Here is a 13960-nt window from a genome sequence, read left to right on the forward strand (position 1 = left end):
CACTCTAGCCTGGGTGACAAGAATGAAACTCTGTCTCAGAAAAACATAAACATGAAAATAAATAAATAACACGATGAAGAAGGGGAGACATTTGTGATCCACGGGTATGTGTGTGTATGTTTGTATCTGAGGGCCTGGCCGTGCAGAAGTTGTGTAACATACACGCCAGGCCCTCAATACTGGTTCCATGGTTGTGTTAGAAGGATGAGGGAAGAAGGAAGCAATACATAAAATATTAATAAATGTTAAGTAAAACAGCCAATTATAATATCTATTCAGTATCTTTCTTCACATACATAAAAATGAATATGCACCGTATTTACAGGCAAGCACAGGAAGAGGAAAAACATTGATTTGATTAAAGGATATCATTGTGGACTTTTAGGGCTTCAATATTTTAAAATAAATTTTATTTTGGAATAATTTTAGATTTAATAGATAAGTTACAAAGATATTACAGAGACTTCTCATATACCCTTTACTGAATTTCCCCCATCATTAATATCAGATGCTATCACTGTGCTTTTGTGAAAACTAAGACATTGACATTGTTACATTACTACTAACTAAACTGTGGATTTTATTGGATTTCATCAGTTTTTTTTAAATTATGTCCTGTTTTAGTTCCAGGATCCAGTCCAGGGCACCACTACCTGCTCTGTTATAGTGTCATGATACTGATGGCTTGTTGTGTAGTCATGTTAGGATGGCTTTTTAACACTTAATTGGGCTATACTATTGTAGTTGCCTCTTTGCCTTAAGGACTTTCATTTTTACTTTCATGTAGGTTTGCAATAAAGTAGAAAATGTTTTTAATGACTTTATTGCTGTCTAAGTGAGATATTTTTGCAAGACACTTAGAGTCCTTCTTGATGTGCTCAATTCTCCCTGTCTCATTAGGCGTGTCTTCCTCCCTTTCTCTACCCACCTTCTTGATGTTTCAGCCACTTGGGATGCAATGCTTCATCGTGTGGATGCCATATTATCCTTTTCCACCTCTCCCACATTGATTCCAAATCCATCAGTCTTGGCCTCATTTCCTGTGAAGGTCCTAGGCCATACTTGCACACATCTTCTGGTTACTGATCAGTCTCTTCGTGCCCCCAGCTGGCCCATTCCTCTTCCATAGAGCTCAACCCAGCAACCATGCAACTATAAGTCTATAACCACAACTTGTGTGTGTGTGTGTGTGTGTGTGTGTGTGTGTGTGTGTGTGTAGGGGTGATCTCCTTCTGACCCAGAGCACATGACACAGATGCTGTGTGTTCATCTCTGTGCCCCTTGGTTCCCAGCTAAGTGTCTTGGACCTGTATGATGGAAAAAAGAAGGAAGACAAGGAAGAGAAGGAGGAAGAGAATATTCAGCCTTAAAAATGGAGGAAATCACGTCACAAGCTGCAACGTAAATAAGTGTCATGGACATTATGCCAAGTGAAACAAACCAGGCACAAAAGGACAAATGCTGTCTGATTCCACTCATGGGAGGACCCCGGAGAAGTTCAAGTCATGGAGACAGAAAGTGGAATGACGGTTTCCAGGGCCTGGGGGGAGGAGGAATGGGGTGTGAGTGTTTAATGAGTGCTGAGCTTTTGTTTGGGATGATAAAAAAAAGTTCTGGAAACGGTTAACGATGTTGGTTGTACAAATGTGAATGTACCTAATGCTGCTAAACTGTACACTTGAAAATGGTTAAGAAGGTAAATTTTATGTTATGTGTACTTCATCACAATTTAAAAGAAAAGAAATAAAATGTCTATGGAAACAATATTTTGAAACTGGTTTACAAGGAGGTGACTAAGTGCTCTCTTCCTGTCCTCCTTTGCGATTGTAAACAGAAAATTAGTCATTTAAAGTCTGTTAGCTGTGCACTCCAGGAGGCGGGGGACATGAAGTGAGAGCAGGTGACTGGTGCATTTCCATTTGTGCTACAACAACTAGGAGGAAGTGACAGAAATGACAGCAAACAATGGAATGAAAAACTCATGAAAAGGTAAATTGGAGCTCCAAAGTCAGGGGAATACAATGAAAGAAAAACCGTAACTGTTCCCGGTGTGCCGGGCCAGTGGAGACAAGGGCCTCCCTCTGCCCTGTGTGCCTGGATGATGATCAATTCATCTCAGGCCAGAACAGTTGTCCTGGACGCTTCAGAGGAAGGCAACAGAGTGACTCACCACAGGCTGCAGCTTCCTAGGGGCACGCATGCATCCATTTATCAGCACTGGAACAATTTATGGATAGCTGGCAATTTGTAGAAGGGGCCACTCAATATATTTTTTTTAAAGCCTAGCTCCATTTAAAAAATAAATCAGAAGTAGAAAAGTAGATTAAGGAAGCAATAGGGTGTCTCATGGGCCGTGTATGAAATGCATACAGTATTTGGTATATAATACAGGTTTAGTGTTGGACACTTAAGATTACTGTATAGGCATTAGGAATTTCATGTCAATTTCTCATCGTCCCTTTATTTGTGATAATGGGAGTATTTCAGTGGAAATAAAGGATTCACCTAAGAAGCTTTTTAGGATGATTTAAGACCTAACACAATGATATTAGTGATGTATTGCCACATAACAAATCTTAGTGGTTTGAAACAACAAACGTTTATAGTATCTCAGTTTCCGAGTGTCAGGAATCCAGGTGTGGCTTCACTGGGTGGTTTGGGTCAGGGTCTCAGAGTAGCAGTCTGCATGTTTGTGGGTCTGCGTCCATCTTGAGATTTGAGGAACAGGTCAGATCTGCTGCCAAGCTCACTCACCTGGGTAGGAGCAGGATGCCATTCTTTGCAGATGTTGGATGGAGGGTCTCAGATCTTCATGGTCTGTCGGCTGGAGCTGTGTGTCCCTTGGCAAGGTGTGTCTGTACTGTGAGTGCAGCTCACACTGTGGCAGCTGACTTTCTGCAGTTATGAGCATAAGACAAGAGAGGATGAGCAAGCCAGAATGCAGTCTTTCTGTAACCTCATCATAGATGTGACATCCCATCACTTTTGCCATATGGTCTCTGTTAGAAGCAAGTCACTGGGTCCCACCCTCACTCAAGAAGAAGGTATCACAAAGGGTGTGAATACCAAATGTACTGGGGTCCTTCTAGACGCTTTCTACTACAATTATAAGAAGAAATGCACTAGCCCCAAATCATTGGAAACAGGGTCACAGGGAGATAGAGCAAGTTGGAAAGTGCCTTGGGACTTGGCTTCCCTCTTTTCTGACAAGAATCGTCTTCATGAATGTGACATCACCTCTTTGATAGGTGGAAGGAGGCAGGGAGCAGGGGCAGATCAAGGCTCATGTCAGCATGGTCCTACTGAGGCAGCCCTGTCCTTTCTGCAGGCAGCAGCAATCAGATGCAGGTCTTCATCTCCAACAGGAGCTGGAATCCTGGTTTCTGATGTTGGCCCAGAGCACTTCTGGAGAAATGTGTGAGGGAGACAAGTGGAGAAGGGATGTCCACAGCCCACCATACTTAGGGTGGTGTGCCCGAGTGAGGTGCCCGTGCTCTCATGTTCTGTAACCTGGTGGGCACAGCCAGGGGCAGTGGCTGCCTGCACATGATGCTTTATGAAGAAGCAGCAGCTGTGGAATGCTCCCTGTGGGCCATGCACGCTACAGGGGCTCTGCGTGCATCACTTCACTTCACCCCCACAGGAGCACGATAGAGAGGTTACTGTCCTACCTCCAGTTTTAAATCTGGGGAAACTGAGATTGTGAGATCGAGCCATCTGCTGCAGCACATGGGGCCCGTGGGTGGCCAAACCCAGATTTCCATACTGGTCTTGATGACTAATTACTTCTAAGTTATTCTTTTTCAAAGTTCTTTTAGCTATACTAGCTGTTTGGTTTTTTTTTTTTTTGCCTTTCCACACATTTTAGAATAATGTCCAAATCTACAAAAGTCTTACTGAGATTATGAAAGAAATTGTTTAAACCTATAGATCAATTTGAGAAGAATTGACATCCTCACTCTCTTATGTCTTTGAATCCATGATTAAATCTATTATTTAAATCTATGATGGTATTTCTATTTACTTTTATAGATCTTTGAGTTCTTTTATCAGCCTTCTGTGGTACAAATTCTGTTTATACTTTGTTAGATTTATACCTTAGTATTTCATTTCTTTTAGCTATTGTAAATGGTATTATATTTTAATTTCTGTGACTACATGTTCTCTTCTAGAGTACAGAAAAACAGCTGAGTTTTGTATGTTTCTCTTTTAACCTGAAATATTGCTGAGTCCACTTGTTAGTTCTAGGTGTGCTTTTTTCTTTCTTTCTTTCTTTTTTTTTTTTTTTTTTTTTTTTTTTGAGACAGAGTCTCACTCTGTTGCCCAGGCTGGAGTGCAATGACGCCATCTCAGCTCAAGCGATTCTCCTGCCTCAGCCTCCTGAGTAGCTGGGATTACAGGCGTGCACCACCATGCCTGGCTAATTTTTTGTATTTTTAGTAGAGACAGGGTTTCACCGTGTTAGCCAGGATGGTCTCAATCTGCTGACCTCGTGATCTGCCCACCTCAGCCTCCCAAAGTGCTGGGATTACAGGTGTGAGCCACCACGCCCAGACTTCTAGGTGTGCTTTTGTAGATTCTCTAGGATTTTGTGAGTAGACAATCAAGCCAACTACAAGTAGGGACAGTTTTATTTCTTTCATTGCATTCTGTTTTTTATTTACTTTTTCTTTTTTTTTTTTTTTGCCTTAATGAACTGGTTAAAACTTCTGGCACTGTATTCACTAAGAATGATGAGAACAGACATCCCTGCCAGGCTCCAAATCTTAGGGGGAAGCATTCACACCATGCAGTATAAAGTGAGCTGTGGTTTTACCAATGCTTTTTGTGAAGTTGAGGAAGTTTCTCCCTTATTACTATTATTACTATTTTCTAAAAGTTTTCTTTATTGTTTCTCCCTTATTACTATTATTACTATTTTCTAAAAGTTTTCTTTTTTGTTTCTCCCTCTCTCTTTTTTTAAATGAATCAGTGTTGCATTTTGCCAAATGCTTTTTTCTACATCAGTTGATGTCATCAGGTGATTTTTCTTCTTTAGCTTGTAAATGTGGTCAGTTACACACAGACAGTTCCTGACTTGCAATAGTATGACTTAAAATTTTTCAATGTTTTGACTCTACAATAGTACAAAACCATCTAACCATTCTGTTTTTCATTTTCAGTATGGTATTCAGTAAATTATGTGAGACATTTTATACTTTACTATAAAATAAGCTTTGTGTTTGATGATTTTTCCCAACTGTAGGCTAATGGAAATATTCTGAGCACAATTCAGGTAGGCGAGGCTAAGCTATGAGGTTTGGTAGGTTGGGCATATTAACTGCATTGTTGACTTAACGATATTTTCAACTAATGAGTGGGTTTATTGGGCCATAACTTCATGGTAAGCTGAAAAGTATCTGTAATTGATTTTTGAATATTGAACTCGCTTTGAATTTCAGGAACAAAATCCACTTGGTTGTGATGTACGATTATTTTGATGTATTGCTAAATTCTATTTGTTATTTTGTTAAAATTTTTTGCATCTATAATTATGGCAAATATTAATCTGTAGTTTTCCTTTTGGTATACTTTTGGTCTAGTTTTGTATCAGTATAATGCTGGATTCATAAAATTCATTGGGAAGTGTTTCCATTCTTTCTATTTTGGGGAAGAGACTATGTATAATCGGTGTTAATTCTTGAAATATTTGGCAGAATTCTTCAGTAAAACCATCTGGACTCAAAGGTTTCTTTTATGAGGGAGTTTTAACATTACTAATTCAATTTCCTAAAGAGTGTTCAAATTCTCTATTTCATATTCTGTGAACTCCAGTGGTTTGTGTTTTTCAAAGAATTGGTCCATTTCATCAAAGTTGTCAAATTTATGTGTGTAGCTATTCACAGTATCCTCTTATGCTTTGGACATCTGTAGGGTCTGTAGTGATATCCTTGGCTTCATTATTTTTATTTATAAATTTTATTATCTTTTTTTTGTCAGTCTTGCTATAAGTTTGTCAATTTTATTGATCTTTTCAATGATCCAGTTCTTTGTTTCATTCATTATCTCTATTGCTTTCCTGCTTTTTATTTGACAGATTTCTGCTTTTATCTTTATTATTTTCTTCCTTCTGCATTCTTTGGGTTTATTTTTCTCTTGTTTGTCTAGGATCTTGGAGTGAAAGCTTAGATTAGTGATTTGAGACTTTTCATTTTTTCTTATCTATTCATGTAGTGCTACAATTTTCCCTCTCACCACTGCTTTTGTGATGTTTAATAAAGTTTGTTATGTTGTATTTTCATTTTCATTCAACTCTGTGCATCTCATTTCCCTTGAGACTTCCTCTTTGACCCATAGATTATTAAGAAGTGTGTTATTTAGTTTGTAAGTATATCAAGATTTTCCCTTATTGTTCTGTTATTCATTTCTTATTTGATTCCATTGTGGGAATCATACTTTATCTGATTTTAATTCTTTTAAGAGAACATACCTTACCTGATTTTAAATCTTTTAAATTTTCTAAGGTTTGTTTTATGGCCCAGGATATCTGTCTTGATATACATCATGTGAGCACTTGAAAAGAATTTGTATTCTATTGTTGTTGGATGGAGTATTCTATAAATATGGATTAGCACTTGTTGATTGATGGTTTCTATGGTTTGAATGTTTATCCCCTCCAAACCTTATGTTTAAATTTGGTTGCCATTGTGGTGGTGTTGGAAATTGAGGCTTTGGGGAGGTGATAGGGCCATGAGGGCTCCACCTGCATGGGCAGGATTAATGCCACTATAAAAGGGCAAGTCCAACCTTCTTTTGTCTCTGCCCTTCTACCATGTGATGATTCAGCAAGTAGGCCCTTGCAAAATGTTGATGCCTTGATCTTGGACTTTCCAGGCTGCAGAACTGTGACAAAATAATTTCTTAAATAAAATCTCCAATCTGTGGAATTTTATTTTAAAAGCACAAATTGAACTGAGATGATGGTGCTATTGAGGTCTTCTGTGTTCACACTGATTTTCTGTTTAGTTCTCTCAATTGTTGAGAGAAGGGTGTTGAAATTGCTAATTGTAATGGTGGACTTCTCTTTTTGATTCAGTTAGGGTTTGCTTCACATATATTACCATACTGTTGTTGGGTGCACATAAATTTCAGATTGCTATATTTTATGGTAGATTAATTTTTTATCATTTTTTTAAAGATGGAGTTTTGCTCTTGTTGCCCAAGCTGGAGTGCAATGGTGAGATCTTAGCTCTCTGCAACCTCTGCCTCCTAGGTTCAAGGGATTCTCCTGTCTCAACCTCCTGGGTAGCTAGAATTACAGGCTTCTGCCACTATGCCCTGCTAATTTTTGTATTTTTAGTAGAGATGGGGTTTTACCATGTTGGCCAGGCAGGTCTCGAACTCCTGGCCTCAAGTGATCTGCCCACCTCGGCCTCCCAAAGTGCTGGGATTACAGGGGTGAGCCATCATGCCTGGCTGATTTCTTTAATTATATAATGACCCTCTCTATGTCTAATAATGTTTTTTTCTCAGAAGTCTGCTTTATATTATATTAATGTAACCACTACTGATTTCTTTAATATTTGCATAATATAAGCTATTCTATTCTTTTATTTTCAGTATGTCTATATTATCTATTTAAAGTGCACACAACTTCATCTATATAGCATAAATTGGTAATGCCATTAATCCATCTCATCATTCTTTGCCTTTTAATTGACATATTTAGACTATTGATAATTAAAGTAATCATTAGGTTAGGGATTTAAGTCTATTATTTTATTTTTTCTGTTTATCCTTTCAGTTCCTTTCTCTTGTTTTTCCCTGCCTTTCTGCAGATCACTCAAACATTTTTTAAAATATTTTGTTTTCACTTAATTATTGTGCTTTTTAGTTTATCTCTTGATATACCTCTTTTAGTAATTGCTCTAGATTTACGTTATACACATATAACTTATCGGAGTCTACTGGTGTTGCCTTTTTATCAGTTCAAATGAAGTTTAGAAATCTTACAAACTCTTCTCATCACTTTCTTATGATTGTCTTAAATATTTCCTCTATATTTACTTAGAACCATATCAAACAGGGTTATAAGTTCTGCTTGAATTGTCAAACATAATTTAGAAAACGTAAGAAGAAGAAGGCAGCCTATTTTATTTAGCCATATTTTTGCTCATTGTTTTCTTCCTTCTTTCCTGATGTTCCAAAGTTCTTTTATTGTTTCCTTCCTGTATGGAGAACTTCCCTTAGTCATTCTTTTGGGGTATGTCTGATTGCAACAAATTAGCTTAGTTTCCTTCTTCTAAGGATGTCTTGACTTTCTCTTCAATCATGTATAGAATCTATTCATTTATATAATTTACATAGAAAACATAGGATTCTGGGTTTACAATTCTTTTCTTTCAGCACTTGAAAAACACAGTGCTACTTCCTTCTGGCTTCCATGGTTTCTAATGAAAAGTCCATCATCATAAGAATTTTTTAGAAGCCGCTATACTTTCACCTGTGGATAGGTTTCATTTCTCTGTCATTGCTTTAAAGATATATTCCTTATCTTCAGTTTTCAGATGTTGGACTATGATGTGTCTTGGTGTAGATTTATTTGAGTTTATTTTGTTTGGGATTTAATCAGCCTCTCAAATCTGTAGGGTTATCATGTGTCCCTGAAACTGTTCATTTTTTTTTTAAGTCTTCTTTCTTTGTTTCTCAGATTGGGTCATTTCCACCATTCTTTCTTCTACTTCACTGATTCTTTCTTGTGCTCCCTCCATCTGCTGTTGAGTTCTTCCATTTATTTATTTTTTTATGGTTACTGTGTTTTTCAGTTCTAAGATTTCTATTTGATTCTTTTTTACATCTCTTAGTTCTTTGCTGGGACTTTCTATTATTTCATGGTTTTTAAGCTTGTTCATAATCACTCATTGAAGCATTTTTATGATGACTGCCTTTAAATATGTGTCAGAGAATTCTAACATTTCTGTCATCTTGACGTTGGAATCTTTTTTTTTGTCCTTTTGATTTAGTTTGAAATCTTCCTGGTGCTTGGTATGATGAGTGATTTTTTATTGAAAACTGGAAATGTGGGCTTTGTGGAATGAGAAGTTGAATCTTATTTAAGCTTTCTGTGTTAGTTGTCTTTTTATTACACCACTCTAGCGGGAAAAGGGCGAGGTAGGGAATTTTGGGGTGCCTCTTTTCTTCCCAGAGGGGCTGGAAGTCTACACTTCTTACTTATTTTTTGCTGGCATGGGTGGGGTTTTAGCTACAGCTTTTTGGTAGAATTTGGCTAAGAGTTGAGCATTTATTTTCCAAAATGTTCTTTTTGGCTAGGTTGTGTCTTTCCTTGTCCTTCGGCTAGAGATGGCAGGCTTCCGCTAAGGTATTGTTTTTATCGATGCCTTCTTCCACTCCAACTCAGAGTTATATGAGGCAAAAAGAAGACCTAGGAATGTCACCATGTTGATCTTCCTGTCCCAAGGTCCATAGCTGGCCTGCCTTCTTCTCTTCACTTTTCATATTCTTGTTAGGTTTTTTTTTTAACATAATATGCAAGGTTTTTAGTTGCACTTATTGAGAGGAATAGGGAAGTGTACATCTATCTATTCCATCTCCACAGAAGCAGAAGTCAAATAAGCTTATTCTGAAGCCAAGCAAAAGCCATGCAATGCTGGGACTATACAGTTTTTCAAAGGGGAATTTTCAGAAGATGGCACAGAGCAGATGAAACTGGGAGATGGAAAAAATTCCCTAGCATAGCAAAACCCAATACAGTAATACATTCCATTTGTATCTGCTTCTGGACATCACTATAGGGAAAAGGAAAAGGAATGAGCAAACCTGAGGACTGGGCTATCTCCTTATGAGAGTTAAGTGTGATGAGTAGAACCAACAGCATAAATTAAATTGTTTTGGAGAAGAGATTCTAATCTTTAAAAGAGCTTAATCTGTTTAGGGTAATGTCCCCAAATAAGTGAATTATTTCCAGCTTCTATTTCTTCTTTTACCCCCAAGGAGAGTTTTATTATTTCCTTCATCTGGACAATATGTTCTGGGAGTTTTATATATTTATTTACTTTTATTTAATCAATAATGGAGAGTTTATGTAACATACGATTAAACAGCTATTTCTTTTATTAATCAGATAAAGAGCTGATATTCTGAGCTAAAATAAAATCTTAAACATGTGCTTTTATGAATCTAGTGTGGTGTCATGGGAACCCTGGCCCTTGGCTGTTTGGAAGGAGCCTGTGGTCCTCAGCTTAGGCTGCCATAACAAGCATGACAGATGGGGGCGCTCAAGCAGCAGATGTTCATTGCCTCACAGTCCTCGAGGCTAGAAGTCCAAGATCAAGGTGTCGGCAGGATTGATTTCTCCTGTGACCTCTCTCTTGGCTTGCAGATGGCGTCTTCTCCCTGTGTCTTCACATGGTCATCCTTCTGTGTGTGTCTGTGTCCTCATCTCCTCTTCTTATAAGACACCAGTCAGATTGGATTAGGGCCCATCCATATGGCCTTATTTAACTTTATAATTACCTCTGTAAAAGCCCTATCCTCAAATAAGGTCACATTCTGAAGCATTGAGAATTAGACTTCAACAGATGAACTTTGGGAGCCACAATTAGCCTATAACAGGGGGTTAACACACATGGGGCCACTGTCAGCACCTGGCATCACCTTCTTGCTCACCTTGGGCACTGGTGGCCATGCCTGCCCCTGGCCTTCCCACCATCTCTGTACCTTTCCTCGTCGAAGTGCTTGGGCCCTTCACCCTTTCCAAGTCCTCATATTTGCCAGATGATAGATGTCTGTATCATTTTTTAAAGATTCATACATTGTTACAACTGTGGTCCAGGTCTCTCTAAAGAATGCCAATGTGGCATTTGGCTTCACTCTTTGGTAGGGGCTGTGCCCATCTCAGGGTGCAAAGCCTGCTTGACCCCTGTCTGCACCTTCCCACCTCCTCTCCAGCCAGGTCTGATGTGCACTTTGAGCTGCTGAGCCCTGAACAAGAGGGACAAATGGAAGCCTGCACTCCATCTCCAGCCTCCCAACTCTGTGCTTTTGGTTCAGGTGTATTGCTCACGTCACACTAGTTTTACCTTTTCTTCTTGGGATTAATTGCATCAGCTTCCTGCAGGCGGGTCCACATCTTGGCCACAGGCAAATGGGCAACCACCCTGCCCGCCTCAAATTCCTTATGATTTCTGAGACAGTCTTTCTTCTGATGAGTTTAGTAATGTGTCTCCCCCATTACACTGCGAGCAACATGAGGGAGTGCCTGTGTCTTCTATGGTCTTTTTATCCCTAGATGCTTTAGGGCAAAGTGCTGGCACAGAATATGTTACAATAAATATTTGCATCTTTGGTGCAGCCCCGACTTTCTGCCTCTGGAAAAATGCAACAGGACACAAGCCATGGTCAATTGTTCTGACTGTCTTCACTTCCTCCACACATAGCTGAACAATAGTGTTCCTCAAGGAAGAAAGTGCACTTTGGAGGCAGGGTCTGGCTGGTGTTTAGGTAAGAGAGTAGTCAGTTCATGCCCACACACACCCCCTGGTGAGGAAGGTGAGCTTTTCATCTCTGCTTGCAATATCATGGACTGAATAGCCAGGATCCAGAACTCAGCCTCTTCACTTTCCTTCACACTTCTGTGATTCTTGTTTTTTAATTGAGGGGCTAAGGTTTCACACATCCAACATCTCTTTTCTCCAATGTCCTGCTTTCTTGCCCCTGCATGGCAGTTCTCATCTCCCCTTCCTCTAAGACCCAACCTCCCACTATCCTGTTCTCCACTGCAGCCTTCTCCTGAAGGATGTACATTCCACTCCATTTGATGACCAGGACAATATAGAAGTGTTGGAGCCCCTGTTCTACTGTCTTTCACCCTCATGTGAGGCTTAGGGTAGAGCCAGCTCCCAGTTCATACCAGGTTAATGTCTAATGGGTGCAGACCACAGGCCAGGACTGTGCTAAAGGCTACACTTGGCTTATTGCCCTCAGTCCTCAAAACAGCCCTGTGCAGTAGGCATTGTAGTTGACCTTGTCTTACAGGTGGGGAGAATGAGCCACAGAGAAAATAAATAATTTCTGGGAAATCATCCAACAAGCAAATGGTATTGCTGGGATTTTGAGTCCATCCTGCCACCAGCTTCCAGGCAATGACAGCTCTTTCCAAAAGTAACTATGTGGCCCATGGTCCTATCTGTCCTCCTTAGAAAGACTGCTCTGCCAGGAATCATGTTGAACCAGCTGGGGAATTCTCTTTACTTTTCTCCTCTTCTCTGTTCTGAAAAATGCAAAATTGACAGATATTCTGTGAGTCTTAGAGATGCTTTCCAGAAGGAGGGTGGGTTAATCAGACATTAGGCCTAGGCACAAGGTAGGAATACGTCTCAGAACCTGCAGGAGACAGTGACCCAGCATGGGGCAGAAGCCTTCTCACTGGGGCAGGACAGGTTATAGGGATGGGCTCCAGGGACTCTGTCAGAGGCCAGCCCAGGACCCTCAGCCAGGAGCTCCAAGGTACGTGGGAGGTCATAGCTGGGAGACCCTGTCAGGTGGCCCTGGAGGAAGACATGGAAAGTTGGGAAGCTGATATGGTTTGGCTGTGTCGTCACCCAAATCTCATCTTGAATTGTAGCTCCCATAATTCCCACATGTTGTGGGAGGGACCTGGTGGGAGATAACTGTATCATGGGGACAGTTTCCACCACACTGTTCTCGTGGTAGTGAATACATCTCACAAGATCTGATGGTTTTATAAGGGGTTTCCCCTTTTGCTTGGTTCTCATTTCTCTCTTTGCCTGCCACCATGTAAGATGTGATTTTGTTCTCCCCTCACCTTCCGCCATGATTGTGAGGCCTCCCCAGTCATGTGGAGCTGTGAGTCCATCAGATCTCTTTTTCTTTATAAATTACCCAGTCTCAGGTACGTCTTTATCAGCAGCGTGAAACAGACTAATACAGAAGCTCTGAAAATGCAGCCAACCCAGGCAGCCTGCCTCGGCGCTAGAGGGCAACTATAAGCTTTCCGGGCTCTATTCTACTAAGAATAAAATCCAGCATCAGGAACCTCAACCCTGAGGCTCTAATTCATCCCTGGCCACTAGGTCCTCCCTCCTTGTCTCAGCCACCTTGGCCTTGCTCTTGGAATATACCATGGCTCCCCTACCCCTATCAATCCTTTGCACCTGCTGCTCCTTATATCTCAGGCTTCCCATGCCCCTTCCCTCAGGTGTTGGCCCAAGTAACTCCTAGTCAATTTTGAGGCTCAGCATAAACATCAGATCTTCAGAAAATCTTTCCATCATGCCTTCCTACAACACTGTTACTTGCTTGTCCTGTTCTCATCCAGTAATTCTGTATATTCCCATTAAAGCACCCTTTCAACATGTACTGCTTCTCCCACTGCTGAAGACAGAGACTCTCTCCACTATGTCTATGCCTGGGATGCTGGTCAGCAATGGATGATGGACAGGGGACAGCAAGAGCTAGGACCTCAGCTAGCCTTCAACCTGGGCCACTTGGAGAGTGGGAACATTGTGCTGGCAACTCAAGAAGAAATGTGGTAGACAAGTGAGGTTGGTCATGGAGTAAAACAATTGAGGTGAGACACCCTGAGCCCCTTCCTCACCTGTGTTGCTTACTAATGATGTGAGCTTTGACAAATAACTTAATCCCCTCCTACCGCAGAGGTTTCGTTTCCCCACTTCTGCTTAGGGGTCTTCCGAGGGAGGACTTCTTGAGATGCTGGGTGTCTCACTTAGTGAGATGCCTGGTACTGGACAGGGTTTGTTTTCTCTCCCTCTTGTGTTCTCCCCCTATTAATACTAAATGTGTTGAAGCTCTGGGTATCTGGAGAGTCTAATGGAATTGGTTCCCACACCATCCTGGTGGTCTCCACGGATGCTGGAGTGGGAGGAGGAGAATGGGCTGTACCCACCCACAGGCTGTCTTTGACATGTCCTGGGGGACCTTA

Source organism: Homo sapiens, chromosome 9 (genome assembly GCF_000001405.40).
Source record: "Homo sapiens chromosome 9, GRCh38.p14 Primary Assembly".
NCBI lineage: Eukaryota > Metazoa > Chordata > Mammalia > Primates > Hominidae > Homo > Homo sapiens.